At 42.1% G+C, this 25,247-nt stretch overlaps 1 protein-coding gene across 8 annotated transcripts in view, besides 2 other annotated features; it reads right to left on the reverse strand.

Moving 5' to 3' along the window:
* Window positions 1-25,247, reverse strand: part of OPCML (opioid binding protein/cell adhesion molecule like) — a 1,117,521-nt gene that overhangs the window by 215,444 nt on the left and 876,830 nt on the right. The gene's annotated exons all lie outside the window — the stretch shown is intronic.
* Window positions 2,186-3,385: an enhancer, noted in NCBI's record as "CDK7 strongly-dependent group 2 enhancer chr11:132502505-132503704 (GRCh37/hg19 assembly coordinates)". NCBI's record gives its function as "activates an origin of replication core promoter dependent on BRD2, BRD4, P300/CBP, MED14 and CDK7 cofactors, with strong dependence on CDK7, by STARR-seq in HCT116 cells {active_cell/tissue: HCT116}" and the evidence as "EXISTENCE:reporter gene assay evidence [ECO:0000049][PMID:35650434]".
* Window positions 12,926-13,425: an enhancer, noted in NCBI's record as "H3K4me1 hESC enhancer chr11:132513245-132513744 (GRCh37/hg19 assembly coordinates)". NCBI's record gives its function as "activates a minimal SCP1, AML or CMV promoter by ChIP-STARR-seq in naive H9 embryonic stem cells {active_cell/tissue: H9 hESC(naive)}" and the evidence as "EXISTENCE:reporter gene assay evidence [ECO:0000049][PMID:30033119]".

Consider the following 25,247-nt stretch of genomic DNA (forward strand, 5'->3'; position numbering starts at 1 on the left):
GCACGTGCCTGTAACCCCATTAAAACTGTACTTCAAAGAACATTTGGTAATATGAGAGAATGTATTTGTTAAATTGATAAGTTGAAAGAATAGGACACAATATGTGTGTGTGTGTGTGTGTGTGTGTCTTCTCATAGTTGAGAGCAGAGAGCATATACCACTACATACTAGAATAATTAATAGTAAAAAGACTGGCAACACCAAGTGTTGGTGATGATGCAGAGCAATCGTGATTCTCATACATTGCAAGTGGGAGTATAAAAATGTACAATGATTGTAAAAATGCTTGATAGTTTCTTATAAACTTCACCATCTATCTCTACCATGATTCGGCAATTATACTCCTTAGTATAAGAAATAGGAACGATGTCCACAAAAAGATTGGCACAACAACATTTATAACAGATTCATTCATTTTTACAAAAACCTGGAAACAACTCAAATATACATTCCAACTGGGGAATGGATAAACAAATTGTAATATATTCATATAATAAAATACTACTCAGCAAATACATAAAAACAAATGAACTATGTCTACATAAAAGACAGAAGAAAAATTCAGAAGCATGATAAATGAAAGAAGCTAAATGCAATAGATATATACTGTATAAAATCATACATAAGAAACTCAAAATTAGGCAAAACAAATTTATGGTGATAGATATCAAAAGAGTACATTTTCTCAAACCTAGGGAGATACGTAATATTTCCTTAAGTTCTCTCATAATTTTCCTCCAGTGGCTACTACTGAAGGAAAGTTATGAGAGAACTTTTTAAAAAAAATTCTTTGTTTTTGAAGGCAGTTATTGAGTATATAAACTTTTCAAACTCATCAAATTGAACACTTAAGATCTGTAGTTGCAAATTTTATCTCAGTAAAATAATAAATACTTAAATGTTAAAAGAAAAAAATAACCATATATACATATATATATATATATATATATATCTCCTAGGTGTAAATATACATAAAAGATATATATAATCTCCCTAGGTTTTAGGAAATATATATATACATACATATGTATATATATATTTCTTTATTTTTTTGAGACGGAGTCTGGCTCTGTCCCCCAGGCTGGAGTGCAGTGGCAAGATCTCGGCTCACTGCAAGCTCCGCCTCCCGGGTTCACGCCATTCGCCTGCCTCAGCCTCCCGAGTAGCTGGGACTACAGGCGCCCGCCACCACGCCCGGCTAATTTTTTTTTTTTATTTTTAGTAGAGACATATATTTTTAAACCACGACAAGAAACCTAAAAACTAGTTTAACAAGAAAAATATATTCACATTTAACTCTGTTTACGTTTTTGAAAACTTACCCTATGATCAAAATATTATTAAAAAGTCAATAGATTAACAATATTAGGAAATAGATTTAAAAGCACAAGACAGGTAGTGTCTACAAAATCCTTCAGCATGGCAAGACGTATCATGGAGTATTTATTAAGATCACAAGTCAAATCAATAAATTCTTTGTGTGTGTGAATGTGTGTTAACATCCAGGACATCTGTGAGACCCTAAGGACCTATTCACAGAAGGCCACTGAATTATAAGTTTTGTCCAGGTTTTCAGCTGGGTAACGAAACACGTAGCTGGAAATGAAAATGTGGCAGCCATGCTGATCAGGGCTGGGCTGTTAAAATGGTTTCTGCCTGAAAGAGTCCCTCCTGTAAACATCCCTAGGATAGGGAATGCAGATCCAGCTTAAAAAAAAAAAAAAAGAAAGAATGAGAACATGATTGTGCCACATGGAGATTTGGGCAGGATCTTGTTAGGCCCCTGAGGGTGCCTCAGGCATCTTTATTCAAACACATTTTTTTTTTTTTTTTTTTTTTTTGGAGGGAGCAAGGAGGAGATCACACAGTTGTGGAACTGTCGTCAAAGCAAGCAGCTGACATTTAAATAATATTATGATTTAAAAGGTTCCTTTGCATTCGTTCCTTAACTCATTACACCTTCACAACTCTGTGACACGAGAAGAGGAGGTGACACTATTTCCATGTGAAAAATGAGAACACTGATATTCAGAAAGATGAACTGATTTTTGTAAGGTCAGATATCTTTTAAGTAATGGAGCAGGGACTTCAAGTGATGTCTGTCTCTCTCCAGTGGCTCTATGATTCTCAGGATATCATCCTATCTCCACGCAACACAATGTCGCCGCAGAGGAGTCGCTTCCTGAGTGGTTCCATGATAGCCAGCCCGGTATATCTACTCCTTTTGGTCTTTTTCTGCTTCCCTATCTTCAGCAAGGCGAGGTAATCACTCTCTCTTTGGTATGTGAGATATGTATCTATTCTGTCATATCCGCCTTTCAGTTGTCACATAGCCAAACTATGCAAATGTGGCCATCTCCACATCTCTGCGTTCAGCACGGCTGCTGCTCCACTCTGGACTCCTTCCAACTGTTCAGATGGGCAGGGAGGAGTTTCATCATCAGAGATGATAAAGAAACATGACTATTCAGCCTTTCTCGTACATCTACCGAATACCTAACTAATGATGTTCTCACCATATTGAAAAAAAAAAAAAAAACCATCCAGGATGACGAATTTATTCCCTGAGTGCCTCATGACAAGTGAGTCAGCTCTCAGCAACCAGAATTACAAGTGGACTGAGCTGGGTGACGGTGGAGCATGAGGAAGTGCAGTCTGTCCTGCCTATAAAGGTGGTCCTAGGCTAATCGAAAATCTGCACCAACAACACAGCAAAGTGTCTTCTGCTGCCAGTAACAGAGCACCCAACTGTTGGTGTTTGAGGGGGACAATCGGTAGCTCTCTCTCTTTTTTTCTGAGACAGAGTCTCGCTCTGTCGCCCAAGCTGGAGTTCAGTGGTGTGATCTCGGCTCACTGCAACCTCTACCTCCTGGGTTCAAGTGATTCTCCTGCCTCAGCCTCCCGAGTAGCTGGGACTACAGGTGCTGGTAGCTCTCTTTTCCCTGCCTAAGTTCAGAACAACTTGAGAGACAAACAGGGAGAAAATAGATGGAAATAAAAATAGCCCTTCATTTCTGATAGAAATTAAAAGCCGGGAATGTGGTTTATATCTTTACGTAAGCAAATGGGCATCCCAATCCTGAGCCTCAGGATTCGACCCCACTCCCCCAGTCACAGGAAGTGCGAGGAGGCCCCAGGCCCTGGGTCTGAGCCTGGCCTCTTACGCTGCATGACACAGGACATCTGTTGGAAGGTCAGTTTCTAAGACAAAATAAAGAGCTGATACCTCCTGATTTATCCTTCCACAAACCTGATCAGATTGAGCCATCTCTTCTCCCTGGTGGTAAGGGGTGTGTATGGGTGTGGGGTGGGGACAGCAGGAGGGAAAGTAAGGGAGGGTGCCAGGAAAGGCACAGAGTGTTACTTGGTAGAGTTTCTTTTGGGTAAAAGAGGCATCAATAATGTTTCCTTCCAACACCAACTAAAAAGGGTTTCAACAAGAAAGACGTTTATTACCTCATGTAAGAAATCGGGGGTGGGAGGCTGGGGGTGGAAGTCAGGGCTACAGTGAGAGCCTCAAGGCCCAGGTTCTTCCTGTCTTTCTTCTCCAGTGTGTGGCTTGGACCATCACAGTCAAAAGATGGGGGTAGCAGTTGCAGGCAAGCATACAGACACAGCAGTATTTAGCAGAAGCAAAAAGGGAAAGGGGATTTTTCTTGCATGTCACCTTTTGTTAAGGAAGGAAAGCTGCTCCAGATAGCTGCCCTCGGACTTCCCCCTGGATCCTACTAATTAAGATTTGATGGCCTGGCTATGCCCAGCCTGGCTTCCAGGGTGTCTCAGAAAATGAGTTTATGGTATTCGAGCTTCTTTAGAGGAAAGTGGCTTCTCTCATAAAGGAAGCAGGTTGTTAGTGTTATGGATGGTGGAAATAGCTATTGAGTATGTAAGCAACAATGTCTGCCATGATTACACCTAAAATTTCCACAAGGAACATCTGCACATGTGGAAAATTTCTGCAGGTTGGACTACATATGACAGTCCCTAATAACTGAATATACTTTTGAGTTCTCATTCCCAATCCAAAATAAAATAAGGCAAAGGGGGACTGAAATGTAAATATTCTATCCTGCCTGAGCCCATGCCTCAGTAGTTACATGCTTCAAGGGAAGGGTCATACAGTGGACAGCTCAACAGATGATTAGATCTGCACCTTGGGGATTATGTAGTGCTGCTTCCTCATCTCTAAAGATGGGGTGTCCTCGCAGGAAGAGATGAGGAAGCAGGAAGAGACTTTAGAGATGAGAAATCAGCACTTTCTTAAAATTTTTAACATTTTTTCTGTCCACTCCACCCTACTGCCCTTGGAAGCCAAAAGAAGGTTGTAAGGCATTCATGACCATAAGTTATCACTTAGAATCAAGTGGCAGGAAATTGAACTTCAGTAGATCCCAGAGTGAAGTCACATTTTTTCCACTATCACCCAACTTGTTAGGGAGGATTAACTGGGCCGATACACTCAGGACTAGAACACAAGATTCTAACTCAGCCTTGCATGCGAGATAAGAATATAATGCCCTCTTACTATGTTGTAAGACCAGCTGCAGAGGAGCTCATGCTCCAAGAGGAAGATTTTCTTGGAGATTTTAGTAGTTTTAAGATTTGTGCAATTGTGTTTGGAAATCCAATATCATTTTTAACTGTGAGACGGTAACACTGCCCATGATTATTACAGTGTGGAGTAGTTCTTCTGGAACAACTTTTGGGTATAGATTTATGATGGCCAATTATTTAGAGGTCTTTCTCCCCTTAAAAATCTGCAAAAATTGTGGAAATCTAAATTTCCCTGTCTAAAACTATGGAGTATGCTTACTTTTAAAATATAATACAATCCCCCCCATTGCAAAATAAAAATTGGTATATTTTTAAGAAGTCCTAAAGAACACTTAAATTATTTCCAATTCGATTCCTCCCATTCCTTGTTCTTGAAAGAAAACAATAACAAAAACAAAAACTTTAGTCAAATGTTGTTAAGGCTCAGGAATGATCGATGGCTTATATGAAAGGTCCTCATCAAAGCATATGATTTAGAAAAGAAGGAGACTCATTTTTTTCCCCAGTCTACCTTCCCATGTTTTTTCCTTTCTGAAATGGAGTTTTATTCAAGGAAAAAAAAAAAAAAAGCCAGACTTCATGATATATGTCTTGCCTACCAGAGAAATTTGACCAAAAAAAAATTTGTTGACCAAACTCTAGCTGACAGACATACTTAATCTATTATCTCGATAAAATCAACTTCAAGGAAGATCTCAGATTGTGCTGTCATCAAAATTGATTTTATCAAACAAGATAATCTTTGCTGTCAACAAGCAGCACTTTCTTAAAACTCTTAAGATTTCTTCTATTCACTCCACCCCACTGCCCTTGGAAGACAAAAGACGTTTGCAAGGTAATCATGATCATAAGTCATCACTTAGAATCTCCCCAAACAGAACCAAGCGGCAGGAGGTTGAACTTCAGGAAGCAGCTTTCAGGCTACATTCATGTTTAAGGAAAAGAAAGCTGAAATAGTAAATTTAGATAGCTACATGTTGAAAATACTCCCCCCCGGATACAAGATGTCCATTGTTTGAAGCAATAAAGTGCAAATGAAACCCGTCTTTACATGCACAATTGGGCATGTGCTTCCATAAATGCCTGATTGTGTATGCAAATGAGTGTTTTGCGCACCCAGTTACCTGCTTGCTGTATTCAGATTTTTAGGGTCGATGTAAGTGCTTTTATTATTTTTTTAATAAAATTGTTCTAAATTATCTGTGGATGAATGATGCTTTAGAAAATTGTTATTTCCCTAAAATCCAGATTTAAACAAGCGCCTCTGAAACTTTGCAATGAATAGTTATGTATTAGTAAAGTCACGTGCAGAATTCAAGCAATTATCTGGGTGCTTCAAGGTAAACATACCACTGTGCATACATTTGTCACATAATTCTGTTATTTTAGGTAGAAGAAAGGGCCTAGTTCATCCAGCTCATGTAGCTTTGCACTTTATTTAACTAATTCAGTCAAAACACAGGGCCTAGAATATAAGGCAGTTTCAGCCTCCTCTTGGAATACATGCTGGCATAGGGAAGTGGATCCATTGCACCACAGTGATCATATGTCCAAGCGAATAAGCCTTCCATATAATGCCTCCTGACTTGCATTTATTCTGGCTTTTCTCGGAAAAGAAATAGCGAATGTGAGGATACACTAAATTAAGGCTACAGAACTGTGAGTGGAGAGGAAAAATCTCTGAATAATTTTCTTGACACTTCATTCAACCCCTTCAGGACCTATGGTGATAAAGCACTGAAGATTTATTTTAATGTGTAAAAACCCTGCTCTGTTCCCCTGGGAGATGCTAAAGAAGACACTGGGAGGCTCGGGGATAGTTTATATTTATCAGGTAAAGTACTGTCTGCTCACTAATAAGCTTCATAAATATTTTTCCCTTCTCTTGAACTTAAAGAAGATCCAGATTTGCAATCTAAAAAAAGAGAAAAAAAGAAACAAATTTCAAAGGTTCTAATACGTTAGTAGAAAAATGTATCTGCATTACTAGCTGCTTTGTTGGCGAGACTGTTTGAATATCATTTATGTAATCCTGACTTCATTGACACGCCATCAACTAGCCAAGCATTTAATCACCAAGATAGATGACTAGGTCAGGCGCATACTACCTATTTATATATTTTTTACTTCTGTAGTTGTTAAACCTAGAAAAGGAATTAGATTTTTTTTTTTTTAACTGAATTTGAAGCTGAATTTTTCTGGCGACTCTTTCTGGGTGAAAATATCAGTCCACAAGATGTTACACAACAGTCCCTTACTGATGATTTCTCCCTATTTCCACCGTTTTTTTCCAATCCTGGCAGATCGGACCTTCTTAAGCTTCATCACTGAGACCAGACCACCCCCACATTTTAAGCCTGGTTCTCCCAAAGTAGGGGACAGACCTGGAATCGTACGCTAGCCTTTCTCTGAGCCTGCTGTTGAGGCTGTTGAAGGCTTGGAAACCTCCATCTTTCAGTGGCCACAGTTACTACTCTTGAGCCACAGCTTCAAAATAATTTAGCCCATAGTCTAAGTTTCCCTTGTTCAGCAGGTTTGTGCCCCTGACATTTGCTGCCAGCTATCTTTGATGCTGAATTTTATTTTTTTGGCTTCCTAGTACTTCTAGACTGGCATCCTAGACTTTGGTCTTTGCTTGGACTTTTGATTATGTATCTAAGTTCTACTTTGAATATTAAAGTTCTTAAATATTAGTTTATATATTTACTTCCTCCTATTCCCTCAGGCATTAATTAAGTGACTAATATGTTCCAGGCAGGTATTAGAACCTGGCAGTGCTCAGGACACATAGACATTGTCCATATGGAACTTTCTTGTGTCTAGATTCATTCACACTGATTGATCACGTGCCTGTGTTCAGAGCCAGGCTCTTCTGGGACCCAGAGGTCACCTGCTCTTCCATGTCCTGCTCAGGATAGTCTCTGCCTTTGGGAGACTTCTAATCTGCATTGGAAGATTGGGAAAGCTTTCCTTATTGGAGCAGCCACTTCTGTCCTACCCACCTCATGGGCAATGAAGTTGGAGAAGGACTTAGGAACTAATATCATATTCTAAAGGGAAGAGTGGCATGGAAAACATGAACTTCTGCATTTGTTTTCTTTAAGAGGCACTACGTGGAGAAGCATAGTATTAGATGTCAACTGCAATCACTTTTCTTCAGAAAGCTAAAGAGCATATATACAGACTATATATATATATATATATATATACAGAGAGAGAGAGAGCATATATACAGACTATATATATATATGATGTATACATATCCAGCTTGATGTAATTAATATATTAATATAGATCTTGTAACTCTGGTGTTCAGACCCCTGTATTTAATAGCTATAATAGAAATCACTATAGCTGGTAACAGAAAAAAAGTCATATTCTGTGGCTTTATGTCAAGAGAGAATTATATTTAGAATTTAGTTTATAGTTTAACCTTAAAGCAAGGATGACAATAGCCTTTCCCAAAACTAAACCACACTTGTAAAACTAATCAACGTCCACAAAGTTAGGATTATTACAGGGGCTTGAATTCTGCTAAGATATGGGTGTGGTTAAAAGATAACCAGCTGTTGTTTTGGAGGTCACAAGATATGTAACTTCCCCAATTACTCTTACACATAACATCACTATTGTGGAACCTCTGATTGGCCTTTTGAGATGTCTTTTAAGACTTTTAAATTGCTGACTCCATCCAGATCTGCTGCTTGTGATTCAACAGGCCCTGTGACCCCACCCAAAGGCAGACTCAGTGCATGAGGACTGTTTTCCATACCCCTATGATTTCATTCCCAACCAACCAACCAACACTCCCATTCCCTAGCCTCCTGCCCACCAAACTATCCTTTAAAACCCCTAACCTCTAAGCCTTTAGGAAGACTGATTTGAGTAATATCTCCAGTTCTTTGCTGTGGCCAGCCTCGCGTCAATTAAACTCTTTCTCTACTGCATTGTCATAGTCTCAGTGAACTGGTTTTTTCTGCGCAGCGGGTAGGAAGAATTTGTTGGGTGACTACAGATACTGGAGCAGTTTTCTAGATCTTTTGACTCACCGTACTGCTTTCTTGTAGCCACGTGATGATTATTTTCTTCAAAGAGAGCTCTACACCCTTGCATTCAAAAGATGTTGGCAACATGTCATTACCTATGGACCTACCTTGATTAGAAAAATCAAAACTGGTCAGGACCCAGTACAGCTTTTAACACGTGAGGAAAGAGCAGGCGGGTGGTCTGAAAGCTCCTTTCAGCAGAGAGATGTGCAGAATTTACTAAATGAGAGAAGCTTAGGTGCCTAGAAAACAGGTTTACTGAGAAGAAAGTTCCGGCAGCTTGCCAGAGGCATGCTCTCAAAATGTGAGAGGCAGCATCTCAACTCTTCACCTAACTATGTGCAAGGTGACACTTGGGGACATGTGAGCAGGACAAGGCAGGAGCCCTGCTGGATGGTTGTAGATTTAAGCTAGCCCCAACCCCTGGGTCCATCACTCATTCCCATAAATCGCACTTATGCTTCTCCCTGGAATAGCAATCATTGCAGCCCCTCCCACCTCCTTGTGTTCTATGGAACCTAAAGTTCCTGAATCCGAACACAATCCTTTCACTGTTAAGACTGGCACTTTACATAATCCTCATGTTTGCAGGCCGACTAAATGTAAATATATGCAAATATACTGGCAAGTTGGTCTGGCCCTCAGGCCTTCCAAAGAGACCTTTCCTGCTGCAAAAGTTGAGCATTGCCTGCTTAGAGGGAGAAGGATTAAGGAGCTGGTAAAAGAAGAGAGGGGACAACAGATAACTTTAGAAAGTAATATAGTGGGGAAAGAAGATGTAAGCATAACCTTCCTATAAATAAGCAAGTCACAGCTAGAAAGCAAAGCTCTGCTAAGGTAGCACTGGGATGGCTGTCATCGACAGTAGCTAGGCCTGGGGAGCATTTACTCACTAGAGGCAGAAAATCACTGCAAGGCAATAGTTTCTGAGGCAAATGTGAGCATCTCCTAAATTGCATGAGGCCCAGAAATTGTTTTCCCCTTCCTAACGTTAGAGAAGTCTATAAAACTTCTCTTGCTACAGCCACAATAGGTACTTTGTTGCTGATGTTTCACCTAGAAACCTCAGAAGAACCTGCTCACCCTGGCAGAGTTGCCCTGCCAGCATTCCACAGACTTCCACAGCAAGAAATGGGAGGAGAAAGAGCGAGGCAGGATGCATATCCCGGAGCCTGAGCAAACCCACAACAATGAGCACATCATCTCTAACGAAAGGCAATGAGCAGTGTGGGTGGGACTGCAAACATCAGTGCGTGGCTTGGTAGGATGGAAGCAAAAATTAGGAACCCCGGGATAAGCACAAGAGGAGAGTCTTCACATCTCCTAAATCAAGAATTTACTTAGAGCCAAGGGAGAAAGGATTGGTCATTAGCATCAGCCACACATTGCAGTTACCCACGCCTGTAAAATATGGGAGTTGTAGTTTATTTGTTCACCCACACATATGCCTGAATCAATTTGTTTGAGTTCTCTCCAACCAAATATTGTCATTTCTTTTATCATGAAATACTTATTGATTACTCATTACATGCCAGACGCATTCAATAAGCATTTTTGAGCGTCTAATCTATGTGAGTTCTGTGCCTTAGGGATAAACATTTCTGTTCATATAGAGGGAAAGACTTTGTTCCCATCCTCAGAGTGGATACATTTTGGTGGTGAAGACAGTGTAATGTGTAACGCAGTAGTTACGGTGTGGTGTGATAGAGCCACACCCAGGAGTTTGGCAAGTGGGAAAGCCTGAGCTCATATGACACCTTCAGGTATTTAGAAGAGAGAGCCCTGAACCAAGCAGGCAGAAGTAGGGCGCTGCAGGGTGCACTAAAGGGCAGGGAGAGGGTGGGGATCGCCCCAGGCCTGCCATGACATGACCATCAGGGCACACTGCACCTCCTGGGAAGGCCCTGAGTAGGACAACTTCTGCCTGGCATAAGCATTGTGTGTTGTGGACCTTCTCAGGAGAAGGCAAGCTGTCCATTAAGGGATTGTTCCAGTATCCTCTGGTCTCTCCCTCTAAGCAGGTGGCATGTCTACACACCAGGGGCCTACACCTGCAACTCTAGGCAGCAGGCATCACCTGGACAGGATCTGGTGGAGAAGCTGGGTGAGGCCTCTATCTCAGAGGCACTAAGGCTCACCTTACTCAGGAAACTGGGGGCCCCTCATGACGGTAAAGTGGCTTTGTATTTGACATGCCACCACATCCTGAACATATATGTTCCTTAAGGACGTCAATGCTGGTTAGAATCTGTTCCAGTTCAGCTTGAGGAAAGGCACTGAGAGGCCCTTCCACGCACACCTCCACCTCCTCTCCTTGCCCAGAGCTGCCACTTTCACCTCTTAAGGCAGGTGCAAGAGATCCCAGGTCAGGCCTGTCCTGTTTGAGATGCTCCCAGCACCTGCCTGGCACTTTTTCAAAGTGAGTTTCCTTTGAACATTGCCTGGACACCTGCTGATTGCCCCTGGTCTCTCTCAGAGCTATCCTTGGGCGTCTTTTTAATGGCCTGGCCTTAATTGCATTTTCCTGTATGCACTGTGGCAGTCAGCATGCAGTTTAATAAAACATTTTCAAACCACTGGGCCCATTCTTCCCTTCCCACCTACATCTTATGCAGTACAAGATTTTAAGCCTTATTTTGAAGGTGATTGATTTGGTGTATTTTCCACTTGCTTTCCTGCTGTGGGGACATTTTGCCTCTATGTGTGATAAATTTTTTTAAAGGAACTTTGATTTTCCTGTCCCCTCACTTTCCACCCTGCTGTTGCAGAACCAAGGACTGGGAAGCTTTACTCCTCAAGTAGCTATTTTGCCTTCTCCAATTCTGTGATTAGTTGTTGGTGCTTTGGATTAGCCGTGGCCAGTGCTCAGGGGTTGTCATTCAGGGCTCACATCGGCAGGGTGTTTGAAAGGAGGTGATGGAGATGTGTGTACCACAGCTACCGACGGTTTTTCTTTTGAAACTAGAGAATAGGCCGATATTTAATTGTATATTGTTTTGTCTTATTCTGGATGTGATTACAGATAAGGGAAATTCATTACCAATGAAGAGATTCCATTGGGTATGCAGTAGTGGCCCCTGAAAGACACAGACTTGGGGAGGTCTCTACATTTTCTATTTCCTGGCATAAGTAATATCGATGCTGGGATGGAAGGCTCTTAAGGAAAGCAAAACCTATGATGAAAGCTTTGATGATGTCTTGCTGATATTATTTCTCTTTTGTTTCAAAGTTATCTGCTTCATCTCTTCATTCTCTCTCAATGAGTACAATTGTGTGTGTGTGTTTTTCAGAAGTACATCTTGAACATGAGATTATAAAATTATGACAACAATATCAAAACTAGTTATAAGAAGAATATTTTAAAATAGCAAGAATGTTATAAGATATTGAGAACAGAGGTATCACACATAAACACACACACATGTTCACATGTATTAAAAAGGAGGCACAGTTATTCCATTGTTATCCACAAAATCTAACATAATTTATCAAAACTTATGATGCCAATGCTTTTATGTGATAAAATCATATTAGGATAAGTGAAGGGACAGTTCTAAAAGTTGCTGAACCACCCTGGCATAATATTTGTCATGCAATCTCAGAAGCATTTTCAGGAATTAACCTAGCAGTGGAAAACAAATAATTTTAATAAACTATAGAGGGTTGCACCTTAATGCCCAACCTCATGAAGAAGGTGGGGCATGCTTTCTTTCCCACAGTTGACAGATGAAGATTCTGAAACATAGCAAGGTTGAGTAAATCATTTCAGGTCACAGAGCAAGTGGTCAAACCAGGAGTGAAATTTTACATACCTTCCTCCTAGAAGCAGCTCAGTAATTGAGACTCTTTTCCATATATAGGAATTAAGGCTTTAGCCAACATTAGTATTGCCTTTTCTGTTGAATATACCTCAAAATTAGAGCACTTGGAAAATGCAAGCCCAACCCTCAGTGGCCAGCAATGTGATTAGTTCTCAGTGGTGGTGTGGAAAGGAAGGAGGGTGGCATAGGGTGAGAGGCAGACACCTGGCCTGCTCCTGCTGTGCCCCACGTGGGAATATTTTAAAAAGTTCATTCCTACCCTGTCTCTACTAAAAATACAAAACAGCCAGGCATGGTGGCACGAGCCTGTAATCCCAGCTTCTCGGGAAGCTGAGGCATGAGAATCACTTGAATGCAGGAGGCAGAGGTTGCGGTGAGCCGAGACAATGCCGCTGCACTCCAGCCTGGGTGACAGCGTGAGACTCCATCTCTAAAAAAGAAAAGCTGGCTCCTGCTCTTGCCTCTTGCTGAAGGAGCTCAGGCAGAGCGGTCGGAGAGCAGAGACCCTCCCTGGGGAGTGTGCCATTTGCCCAGAGAACCGCAGGGTGTCCTGGAACAAGGTGCAGATTGGGCTTGCACCGGGAGGGCTGCATGCAGAGCCTCAGGGAGGCTGGCTCTGCTCTTTGATTTTCCCACCCCCAACCAGGGAGGCGCCCTCAGAACACCAAGCCACGGGCGAGGCTCCTCTGTCTCTTCCTTCTTTCTCTTGACTCTCGACCTTCCTCTGCTTCCTTTATTTTCATTCACATCCTCCATTTGTACATCTGTGGCTCTTTGCAGGCATCTTCAAGTTCTTCTTCCATCTCTTTCCCTTATCACCTTTTACTTTCCCAAATCTCCCAGGCAGGAGCCCCACTCCTCCAGCCCTCCACTTACCAGGGCTAACTCAGACTCTTTTATTAAGGGGAACATCCAGTGTCAAACTCTCCCATGCCTCTCTCATTCAACAAGCTCAGTTTGGTCTGCGTTAGAGAGCCATGTGCCTAGAAGTGTGTGTGTTTTGCTAATTGTAAATCACATATGAAATCTACATCCTGAATCAAAAAATTGACTGCAAACTTTGTGTCTGAAAGAGACCAAACTTTTTGTCCTCAAGCAACCTGTACCTTGGAAATGACAAACACTCCTCGTGGTCGTCTGATCCCAGATCATTGCGGAGTTTTTAGAAAACACTCTAAGTTCTATTTAAATTTATTGCTTGGCATTTCTGGGACACAGAATAATCTCTTCTGCCAACCTATAAATTCATTTAAAATCTGTGCTTTCCCCTGAAAAATCATAATAACCAAAAGAACCAATAACAATGCTATAATTAATTATTATTTCTATTAAAAGATAGGGCTTATTTTTTTTCCTACCCTGTCTCTACTAAAAATACAAAAATAGCTGGGTGTGGTGGCAGGCACCACCACGATTTAGGTGACATTCTAGGAGCAGTATTTCTACAGCTCTGTTAATCACCCTTCATCTGTCAATCAGAGGGAACTCCTTCTCTGCTTTTAACTAACAAAAACCCAGTAATAAAACTCGGACTCCCAGGGGACGCATGGCTCGCTTACCTGCGGATTTTAGGTTACCCGGGGAGCTGTTATGTTGTGTCTGAGGGGGAAATAATCTATCTGAACAGAAATTAAGAAAAAATAAGAAAGAAAAAAAATTAAAAGAAAGAAGAATTGAAAGAGAGGGTACAAATATCTATTACAACGATATCATCTTCTAAAGCTGTTTATGATAAAAAGAGGATTTGGTAGCTTGTATCTCAGCTATATTAAATTAAATCCAAGATCCCTTTCCCAGACACACACAGGCCTGAAAACATCAATCCTGTCACGACAAACTAGCCCCTGGGAAAAGGAATCCTCCTGGCAGTGTGCCACCGACCCTTATAAACTGTTAACCGTGGTAATGAACCAATCCAAGAGACATATTAATAATGACATGAAGAGACACATTTATTGTTGATTGTTGGGATGGTGGCAGATTTATTGCCAGCTTGCCAGGAGGGAGGGCTTGGCCCAGCAATGGTACAATTAAAAACAAATTGAATACAGGGACAAAGAATCAATAATCTAACAGAGCAACTTTTAGTTTGCAAAATACAAATATAAATTAATTGACCTGAACACAGTTGCTAACTGGTCATTAATGTCTGCTTACTGGCCAATCGGAGCACATAATCCATCCCATTAAATTGATTGCAGCAGGCTGGGTCCCTGCACTTCCAGCTCTGCCTGCCAGGGCAACCATCAGGGCACCTTGTTTAGGGGTGATTTTTGACACCGCTAAAGCAAAGTGACTGTGTTAGAAATTTTCCCCAGAAGCCCTAAATTAAGGAATTCTTTTTAAGGTTTCACTAAGAACTTCTTTATTCAACAGGCATGTTTTCAATGCTACAGTGTACAGTGATCTGTCCCAAGGGAAAGGACTTGAAGGGAATAAATCCATGCTGGACGTGGCTTTTCATGATGTGGCTACCAATATCTCCCCCACTAAGCTGCCCTTTGAGATGCTTATTTATTCCTAAGAATAACTGACATTTTCCCTCAATCTTTCCTAAAATCTTAAAAGCATATTTAAGACATTTTGCTATTATTTTTATGGATTAATAACCTTTTATATGAATTTGTGAAAGAGAGACTTCTATGGTCATGCCAATTCAGATTGCTATCCCTAAGCTGTGCCTCTGTGAAAAATTATGGAGCCACCTCCTCTGGCTTGTCTTCAAGGAAATTACAGTCTAGGAGAGCAAGAGAGTTACATCCACCAATAACTGAAATTTGAAACAAAAAGCTACAGGTATCACAAGGAAGTACAGGTAAAGTGGCAGCTGGAATTTTTTTAAAAAGCCCTAGCAACTCTAAAATTGTGCAATATGATAGCTACTGGTCATGTGTGTCTATTTCAAATTAAATTAATTAAAATTAAATAAAACTAAAGACTTGGCTTTTCAGTCACACTAGTCACAACTGAAGTTCTCAACAGTCACTTGTGGCTAATGGCTACCACGTTGAAGAGTGTAAATACAGAGCATTTCCGTCATCGCGGAAAGGTCTATTGGACAGTACTGCTTTCTGTAGGATTTGGATATCCAGGGAGAAGAACATTAAAGGCAGATGAATTCTATGAGAAACGAAGAAGAATGCAGGATGCTGGGCAGCGGGGATTACACAAGGACAAACTTGACTAGGTTGTGTGTAGGATGTAAATGTGGAGAAATAAGAAATAAGAGTGGAAAGGGTGGGAGGGGGGTGAGGGATAAAAGACTACAAATTGGGCTCAGTATATACTGCTCAGGTGATGGGTGCACCAAAATCTCACAGCTCACCACCAAACAAATTACTCATGTAACCAAACACCACCTGTTCTCACAACTCACCACTAAACAACTTACTCATGTAACCAAATACCACCTGTGCCCCAAAAGCCTATGGAAACAAAAATTTAAAAAGAAAGAAACATTCCTCCTACCAAAAAGTAAAAAAGAAATAAAGAAGTAAGAATAGAAAAGACGGTTTGGCCCTGGATTGCTCAGCACTTGGAAAGACAATCTAAGAGCTTTTGACTTGACTTCATTGTCAACAGGGATCCATTAAAATACAAGTGGGGTAAGTGACATGATCAGTATCTGCATCAGAAATACTTAGACAACACTGTTAAAATGAATTATAGGGCGGGAGAGATGAGGATTAGGTATCAATTAGGATGTGACAGGCAAAAGTCAGTAGAGAGTAAGATTCTGCACTTTGAAGGTAGTGGTTGTGGGAACGGAAAGGGAGAGAATGACGTTATTGGACATGACATTTGCTTTGATAGAGAAGCAAAAGAGAAAAAGAGTCAAAGCTGAAGCCAAGGTTTTATACACAATGGTGTTTCCATGAATAGAAATGCGAATTACGAGAAGAGGAACAGGTTTTGGAGAAAAGAAGATAAGTTGAGAGTGGAACATGTTAAGATTCCTAAGGGATACCCAAGTTGAGGAGCTAAGAAAATAATCAAACATTGGAGAATGGAATTAGGAAAGAACTAAAAACTGGAAATTTAGATTTAGGAGCCAATGATATAGAGCTGATATTAACTCCAAGAAAAAAAGTTATAATTACTAAGACAAGATCAACAAAACAAGAGAGAAAAAAGTTTAAGGACAGACCCTGACTCCACAGAGATTAGACTACAATGCCTTAAGCAGAGGCAACCTGACCTGACACAGAAAGGATGTGTATTGTAAATGACCTGGCGTGGCAGTCTGACCTACTTATTTAAAAGCTATGGAATTGAAAGGAAGTTAAGCTAGAAGCTGAGTGGAGAATTGAAAGGAAGTTAAGCTAGAAGCTGAGTGGAGAATTCCACTGTCAACGGAAGTGAGTTTAAGATACAACCTTGTACTTATCAGCAGGGCCCTTAGCTTCTCTGAGCCTTAGTTTTCTCATTCAAAAAAATGGGAACATGAATCCCACCCTCTGGGGTTAATTGGAAAATAGAATCTGATAATGTTTATAAGATGACCGCCACCCCACTTAGTTAACTCTTGAATAATATAAGGGCTGGGGGTAATGACCCCCACACAGTTGAAAATCTGCAAATAACTTTGACTCCCTCCAAATTTAACTACTAAGAGCCTAATGTTGACCAGAAGCCTTACTGATAATATGAAACAGTTGATTAATGTATATTTTGTATTTATATTATATACTGTATTCATATAATAAAGTAAATTGGAGTAAAGAAAATGAGACTAAGTAAATAATAAGGAAGAGAAAATATATTTACTGTTCATTAAGTGCAAGTGGATCGTCATAAAGGTCTTCATCATTATTGTCTTAATGTTGAGTAGGCTGAGGAGGAGGAGGAAGAGGAGGGGTAGGTCTTGCGGTCTCAGGAGTGGCAGGGATGGAAGAAAATTCACATATAAGTGGAACTGCATGGTTCAGACTCATATGGTTCAAGGGTCAACCGTACTCAGCAGATGATAACCATTGTTTATAATTACTGAAAAAGATTATTGACTGTTTTCCTGGTGATTATTTTGCTTCACTTCTATTGCTCTTCAATTTCTATGCCTATAGAGGAGAAATTTAGTGAACGAAGAGTAAAAGACTTCTTGAGAAGCCAGAATAAGAATAGGGACAACAGTTACTTTCGTCAAGGCACTATGTTTGAGGGTAATACTTGTTAACTAGGAGCTCAAAACCAGGTTCGGAAATGCAAGTGAGACTCTCCAAATCTGTGTACACCTGCTATGTGTAGAAAGACATCACTATTCTGAATTCACAGTTTACTTGGATGCTAAACAGTGACTGACTAATCTTGCGGGTGGTGAGGCTTGAAACCTTATGTAAGATCCTCACTATATGAGGGTCATGGTGGACATTAATCTATCAGGAGAGTTTATGAACATTTACTAATTTGTCCTTCTTCTGAGGTGTGATTGCTCCCCTGCTCACAGCAGCAGGAACGTGTGGGAAAAGACCTATTTACTGGAGGTATTGGCAGACAGGTCTCTTCGGAAATAAGCTGAGATCACCATGCAAATTCAGCAGAACATAACAGGCATTTCATTTTCCTTCCATCTCCACATCAGTGATGATTTTGAGAACAGGCATTACGACTGTTCCGTTTATTTAATTCTATTGCAAATAAGGCAGATGACAGCCCCAGGCCCTGACACTTCTCTCTGTCTTTTTTTTTTTTTTTTCAGACAGAGTCTTGCTCTGTCACCCAGGCTGGAGTGCAGGGGTGTGATCTTGGCTCACTGCAACCTCCGCCTCCCTGCTTCAGCCTCCTGAGTAGCTGGGACTACGGGCGCACGCCACCATGCCCAGCTAATTTTTTCTGGCTACTGTAAAAATCATCATCAAACCAGGTGCCAGGACTGGCAGCCTCTTCTTGGATCATATCAAGGAGTTTCTCTGCCTTTTTCCCAGCCAGGACTCTCAAGCGGAAGTGCTGCCTCTTGCCAGGGTCCACCCGTGATTTGTTCTGACAATGTATTCATCCAGAGTCACATTTTTTTTTGGTCTCACTCACCTTAGAAAATACCGACTCCTCCTATTTTTATAATTAAATAGACTATAAGTGTCCGAGGAGAAATGGAGTGTGTCCTTCCCCCTCTCGTCTCCTAGACAGAGGCTTAGCCTACATATTTGTGGGTAATGGGATGGAATTCCAGAGGCCACGGAGGAAATAGCCATAAACCCTATAAAAACTGTGTGAGCGTGTGTGTGGAGTACAGAAGAAACAGACAAAACCCATGAAAACTGTGTGCGTGTAAGAGTGTGTGTATGTGTGAGTGCGTGAGTATGTCTGTGAGTGTGTGTATGTGTACGTGGTGTCTGTGTGTGTCTTAGTTGCAAAGCAAAGCAGAACAAAGCCCCACATGTATCTTCACAACAGTGGGAGAAAAGGCCTGATACAAGGAGAAATCTGTTTTTTTTTCTTTTTTTATAAACTGTGTTGTGAACTGTGTTGTCACCAACCACACACAATGTCATGAAAGGTCACAATCTAGGAGACGCGTGAAGGTCAACGTCAATTATACTCTGGCTACGCAAGGTGTCATATTCGTTAATATCTGAGAAACACAGTAGTCTGAGAGCCGGGATAGGACCACGGCATGGTGGGGTGAGTGTGGCCTTGCTCTAACCCTGAGCGCAGGGGGCGGGGCAGGTGCAGAAGGTGGTGTGGGGACACCCTCCCAGTGAAGGGAGACTTGAGATCCCTTCCTTTATGTGTTATAGAGGGTATTCTGGACAGTAACTTCATTCTTGATTCCTTCTGTGTTGTAGTTGCCTTCTTAGTTAGCCTAACTCTTCCATAAAGCATGTGTATGTATACACATATACATATATACACCTCAAACATTGAACATGTATATGTGTATATCCAAGCATATATATGTGTATCTTTATATACTCGTATACATATATATGCTTGATGTTTGATGATTTCTCCATTGATCAGGTCTCTTCTCCCATTGTTGTGAGGAGAAATATGTTGGTTGTTCTGCTCTGCTTAGGAACTAAGACATACAGAGGTACCACGTACACACTCACACTCACGAATGCCCTCACACATACACGCACTGTTACACACACACACACACACACACACAGTTTTCATGTCTGTTTCTTCTGCAGTCACATGCACACACTCACACAGTTTTTATAGGTTGTATGGCTCTTTCCTCTGTGGCCTCTGGAATTCCACCCCACTGTCCATTAAATATGTGTCCGCTTGACGTGGGTTGTGGAGGTTACAAATGTTAGAGAAGAACTTGGAAGCAAATGGTATCTTTCTCTTCCACCTTCTCTAACCAAAAAGTGAACAACAAGGTTTACAGTCACCCCTAACTAGCAGTGTTAGTAAGGGACACTAAATCCTAAAGCCTCTGGAGAAAAATACAAATAAGAAATAGTAGGAACAATGGCAAAAGACTGCGATTACTTTCACACCAACCTAGTAATTGTGCCATCGGCGGGTGAAAGTAGGAGAGACACAGAGTGCAGAGACTCCTGGTCACACACAAATTCCCAGATGAATTACACTGACAAGTTGTCACACAGAATAACTAGAAAGGACTTTCATATCATCAGTTCAACCTTTCCATTGCAAAGTCAAGGACATGACGCCCAGAAAAGTCCTTAACCTAATTTTGGCTGTGTGCTTTATCTGCACTAATATACAGAATTTGCAGCTTAGAGACCCCTTCTCAGAATCTTATTTCCAATTGACATACACACACACACACACATACACACACAAAAAAAACACACACAGCCACACATGGGATTAAAGTATGCATATGTGCACATAAATAAATTACTCTGAATTCTACTCTTCACCCCATGTTAATAAGCCAGGAGAGGAACGTCTTGGAGATGCAGGCCTGCACTTTTAGGAGCCGAGCGCAGGGCTGAGGAGTGAGCATTCTGCTGGCCTGTCCTGTTGTTTTCCACTCTTCTATCCTGTCTTTGTGAAGAGTAAATGTGATTACAATTTTAAGTAGCGGTTGAATACATTAAATTTATTTCAGGTTAACTGCCTGCTTTTCTTTAAGTCTATAAGCACACATGTTCATTTAAATGTTTGGGTAATATTTAGGAAAAGAGGAGAAAATAGCCTAAAAAAAGAGATTGCTTACAAAGAGTTGAAAATAGGGAAATCCCTGGCAAAATTGTGACCTATGGCTCTGCCTCCCTGGGCCTGCTGCAACCGCTCCTTGGTGCAATCCCAGCATCCACCTGCTGCCCCAACCCCAGAATTGTCACCTCAGGGCCCACCCTTTTCTGGAGCACCTCTGAAGGTTGACATTTTTCTCACATAAGAACAAGTACCTGTCTACGTATTTAACTCTGAGTCAGTGGTGTGTTGAACACTCTGGTGGCTACAGAGTAAATATACCCGGTCTTGGGTGTTGCTTTGCCACTTCCTCGCTAGTGTAACTCGGACAAATCACTTCCAAGTCTCTGAATCTCACTTTCTGGTCTTGGAAAGGTGTGCCTTTCTATTCTGTCATGTGGGGCTTTTGGGAAGCATAATCAAAAGAGATAATGCATATAAAGTACCTTGTTAACTGTTTGTATTTTGATAACTTTTTTTCTCGTGAGAAAAGCTTAACCTCGATGAGTAAGTCTAGTGAAGGGGATTTAAAGCACGCGGCAGCTGCATCAGCGTTGGGTAAGTTGTTAATCTTTCTAAGCCTCCATTTCCTTATTTGTAAACATGACTAGGGTGGATATTCTGTAGAGTGGATAGATGTAAGGAACGGCTGAGATAACGTTTATACTTAGTGCACCCAATGCTGAGGTTGGTTGGTGATCAGCAATATCTAGGACTGGCAGGGCTGGGAACACATTTTTCTTTACAAGCAAAACTCAACTTCAGATACCAACCAATTTCACCTGAACTGACACCAGGCTAAGAGATGTAGAGTCTTTTGTTTACATAGAAATTGCATAAGCTTGCTGTGGAGCCTCCTATGTAAGAATTTAATAAAATTCATCATTTCCAGCCCTTTGCATAAAATTGGGCTTAGCAAGAGGAGTTCATTCCATAAAAGGAAGTAACCTGTAGTGAAGAGATTTCTGAACAAGGCAGGAAAGCAGGTAGAGAATACCTACATCCAAAAAGCAACCATAGACGGATCTTCTTACTCCATCTATCTCCAACAAACAACGACAATGACATACCACTGGCACACATAGATCTCTGCATTCTTTCAGAGTGCTGAAGAGCTCATGACAGTTAGAATGACAATGAGATTCTGGATCCACAGAGGGTCCAGGGTTTTCAGTACTTACATAGGATAAAGTGGTAACATTTAAAATGCATATCCCTGAAGGGATGAGCTACTAGAAAATTAATTATCCTCTCTTTGCCCCCCTCACAGCCTCTCTACATCATTTATTGTAGCTTTGGTGTCCCACTCCCACCACTAATTTTCTTTCTTGAGCTTTGTCCTCAATTTCTGTTGCTACAATGCAATATCAATAGAAGGAAGAATGACAAACACACACACACACACACACACACACACACACACACAGAGAGAGAAATCCTGAAAATGTTCCATTGATCTAGAGCAGAGAACTAACTTTGGATGTTGTTGGCATTGGAGGGACTGCAGAATGCTGAAAAGACACTACTCTGAAAGTCCTGTGGCCATGGTTCAAGACCCAGCTCTGCTACTTACTCACTGGGGACTCAGCCAGGCTCTTAACCTCCATGAGCTGCAGTTACCTAATTTGTAAATGGAGATAACGGTCACTGCACTACAGCCTCCCAGGGCTTGTTGTGTGAGTCAAAGGTGACAAACACTGTGCCATCTCTGTAAAGTACTAAATAAATGCCTGGAATTTGTGTTATCCTTTTAGAACAATCTCTTAGCTTGTCACATCGAGGACCCTCTCCCCTCAGGGACCTTTCCTCCATGACTGTCCTCTCCGAGTCATCTGGACATAGTCTGACTTCCCTGCCACCTGTATCTGCAGGAAGATGCTTTATGATCGCTGTGTTCCTATGCCACTCCAGTAGCAACATCAATCTGCTTCTGCTCATTGTACAAACATTTGCTGAGTGCCTACTGTGCCTCAGACGGTGTGCTAAGTGCTGAGGTTGGATATAAATAAATTATGATTCTTACTGTTATCTACGAATAGTTAACCTCAGAACATTTACCTACTCTCCAGCCAGGAAATTCATGCTGAATCTCAAATATGCCCTTTCTGGTGTTAGGTTACACCTGTTCCCTAGTTCTGCAACATCTGTGTAATGTTTGTGTGTTGTTTATCTCTAGACCTCGTAAGCCCAAAGCTGTTCTTTCCGAGTGGCATAGGATCGTATCTCCCCAATCACTAGCATTTCTCCAAACTAAAAAATCTGGGTGATATCATTTTAATTCTTCCTCTTTCCAGGTATGAGGATGAATGCTCTCAGTTTCCTGTGGACAGTGCCTCTCAGGCACCTCTGGATCTTTTCAGGTAGGCCCACGGTCACCCTGGCTGCACTGCTTAGCGGGGATGGGAGTCACTCCTGCCTGCGCTTGTGCCTCCAGCTTCTCCCGCTTTAGCTCCTGCTCTGCGGGGCTGCCAGGCTGATTTTCCCCCCAACTAATCCGACCCCACAGCTGAGCATCCCCCTTGCTCCGGATTTCCTCCACACTGAGGTGTGCAGCCTAGATCACATTATCACATGCTCACACGGTGCCTGTGCTGATCCCCTCAGTGGCTGAGATGTACCTCAGGTATCAGTGACACGATTTTAATGAAGGCAGCTTCTGTTCTCAATGAGAAGGATTTGGAAATTAGTTCCATCAGATATGTGGCAAAGGCTGCCTTCTACAACAGGAAAGGGCAGGCAGGAAAGTTGGTGGCAGAGTGTCTCTCAGGCGCTCCCATGGCAGGAGGGATAAAGCTGAGTCCCTTAGGCGTGCACTCCCTTCTGCTGATGGCATCTGGTTGGCAGAAGAAATGAGATACCCACCTTCTCAAATGGACAGAAGATACATAAACACCTTTTGTTTTTATAAACAGACAAGTGGCAGCTCGGAAATTTTTCTGTTTTCTCTCATTGCAAAATCAATACCCATCAGCAGTTTGAAATTAAAGGCAAGATTAGGCCTCAGTTTTATACATGCCTTATTGTCTTCCAAAAGCTTTCTACTCAGTCAGATAAATTTTCTTTAAGAGGATTAGGAAACTTTCATTATCTTTATCTAACCTGAACTAACACTATGTCTGAAAAATTAATCTATAGACTGGACAAAAGCTGATGCTGCTGGGAGAAGAACTCTGGGGCTTCTTTCTAACTGAGTAGTGGGGTCTCTACATCCACCCTCTGGTAATTCAACTGTCTTCCAAAGAAAGAGCAAGTCACTGGATCACTAAGCAAGAGGAAATAATTCAGCTTTCTGATCTCCTTCTCTGTGGCCTCTCAGTAAAGGTACAAACCAGCCTGCCAAGGATCCCAAGAGAATGTCCTCCCGAAGAGAAGATCTTCCCAAAGAGAAGCTTCTCCCCAAGAGAACGTCATCATCAAGAGAAACTCCTCCCCAAGAGAAGATCCTCCCCAAGAGAATGTCCTCCCCAAAGGAATGTCATCCCCAAAAGAAGATCTTCCCCAAGAGAAGCACTTCCCCAAGGGAAGCTCCTCCCCAAGAGAAGCTCTTCCCCAAGAGAAGCTCCTCCCCAAGAGAAGCTCCTCCCCAAGAGAAGGTCCTCCCCAAAAGAACATCATCCCCAAGAGAAGCTCCTCCTCAAGAGAAGCTCCTCCCCAAGAGAAGCTCCTCCCCAAGAGAACATCATCTCCAAGAGAAGATCTTCCCCAAGAGAATGTCCTCCCCAAAGGAATGTCATCCCCAAAAGAAGATCTTCCCCAAGAGAAGCTCTTCCCCAAGAGACGCTCCTCCCCAAGATAAGCTCCTCCCCAAGAGAACATCATCCCCAAGAGAAGCTCTTCCCCAAGAGAAGCTCCTCCCCAAAAGAATATCCTCCCCTCCCACCCCCACCCATCCTGACTGCCTCTGGACTTCCCAGGCCACCTCAGAGGGCTGGAGCCAGAGAGTAGCTTGGCCTGGAATGCGGAGACTGAGGAGCTGACCTCTGAAATAGATGCCATGCTGTCCTTAGACTTTTTCTGACCTGAAGCTTGGAGGTCCACAGGGAGACCCCACAGGCTGCCACATCCCACCCAAGGGATCGCTCAGCATGTGTTATGGAGAACATCCTTCTCTGTTGCTCAGCCCCCAGCCCATTATGTTGTGCATTGACTTTGATTTGCTTATATCATCTATCTTCGTTCTTGAAAAGGGATAGGCTTGCTCTGTTTGAGTCTGTTTCTCTACAGTGCCTGACAGTTCTTTTTTATTTCGGTGCCACATTTCCTGAATTTGAAAATAACTTTGCTGTCAAGGCCACAGAGGTGCCACTGAGGTGGCACTTCCGATGCCGAGAATGTCAGCTCCTCTGGAACCAAGCCCAGGTGCAGGCAGGTGGGGTAGTGAGAGCTCACAGTCTTTTGTTTTCTACACCCTCAGAAACGTTCAACAGATAGCCCAGCTCATCTCCGATGACTGATCTCACCAAGTGCCTCTGTCGTCCTCTGAGGAGAAGTATCAGATGTGACAGTTGTCTTGATCTCCAGATGGCAGGCAGTCTTGTCACTCCAGAGCTGTGGGTGGACGTGTATGGAGAGTGGAAACCCGCAGCATCTGTAGATGTCTGTCGGATGGCGTGTGTGAACGCCTGAAAGCACGCGAGGAGGGGAGCAGGGCTTGGAGGCTGGGCAGGAGCAAAGCTTCAGGCAGCATGGCAGTGCCAAGGACTGCTGGGGA

This window comes from Homo sapiens, chromosome 11 (genome assembly GCF_000001405.40).
Source record: "Homo sapiens chromosome 11, GRCh38.p14 Primary Assembly".
NCBI classification, from domain to species: Eukaryota; Metazoa; Chordata; class Mammalia; order Primates; family Hominidae; genus Homo; species Homo sapiens.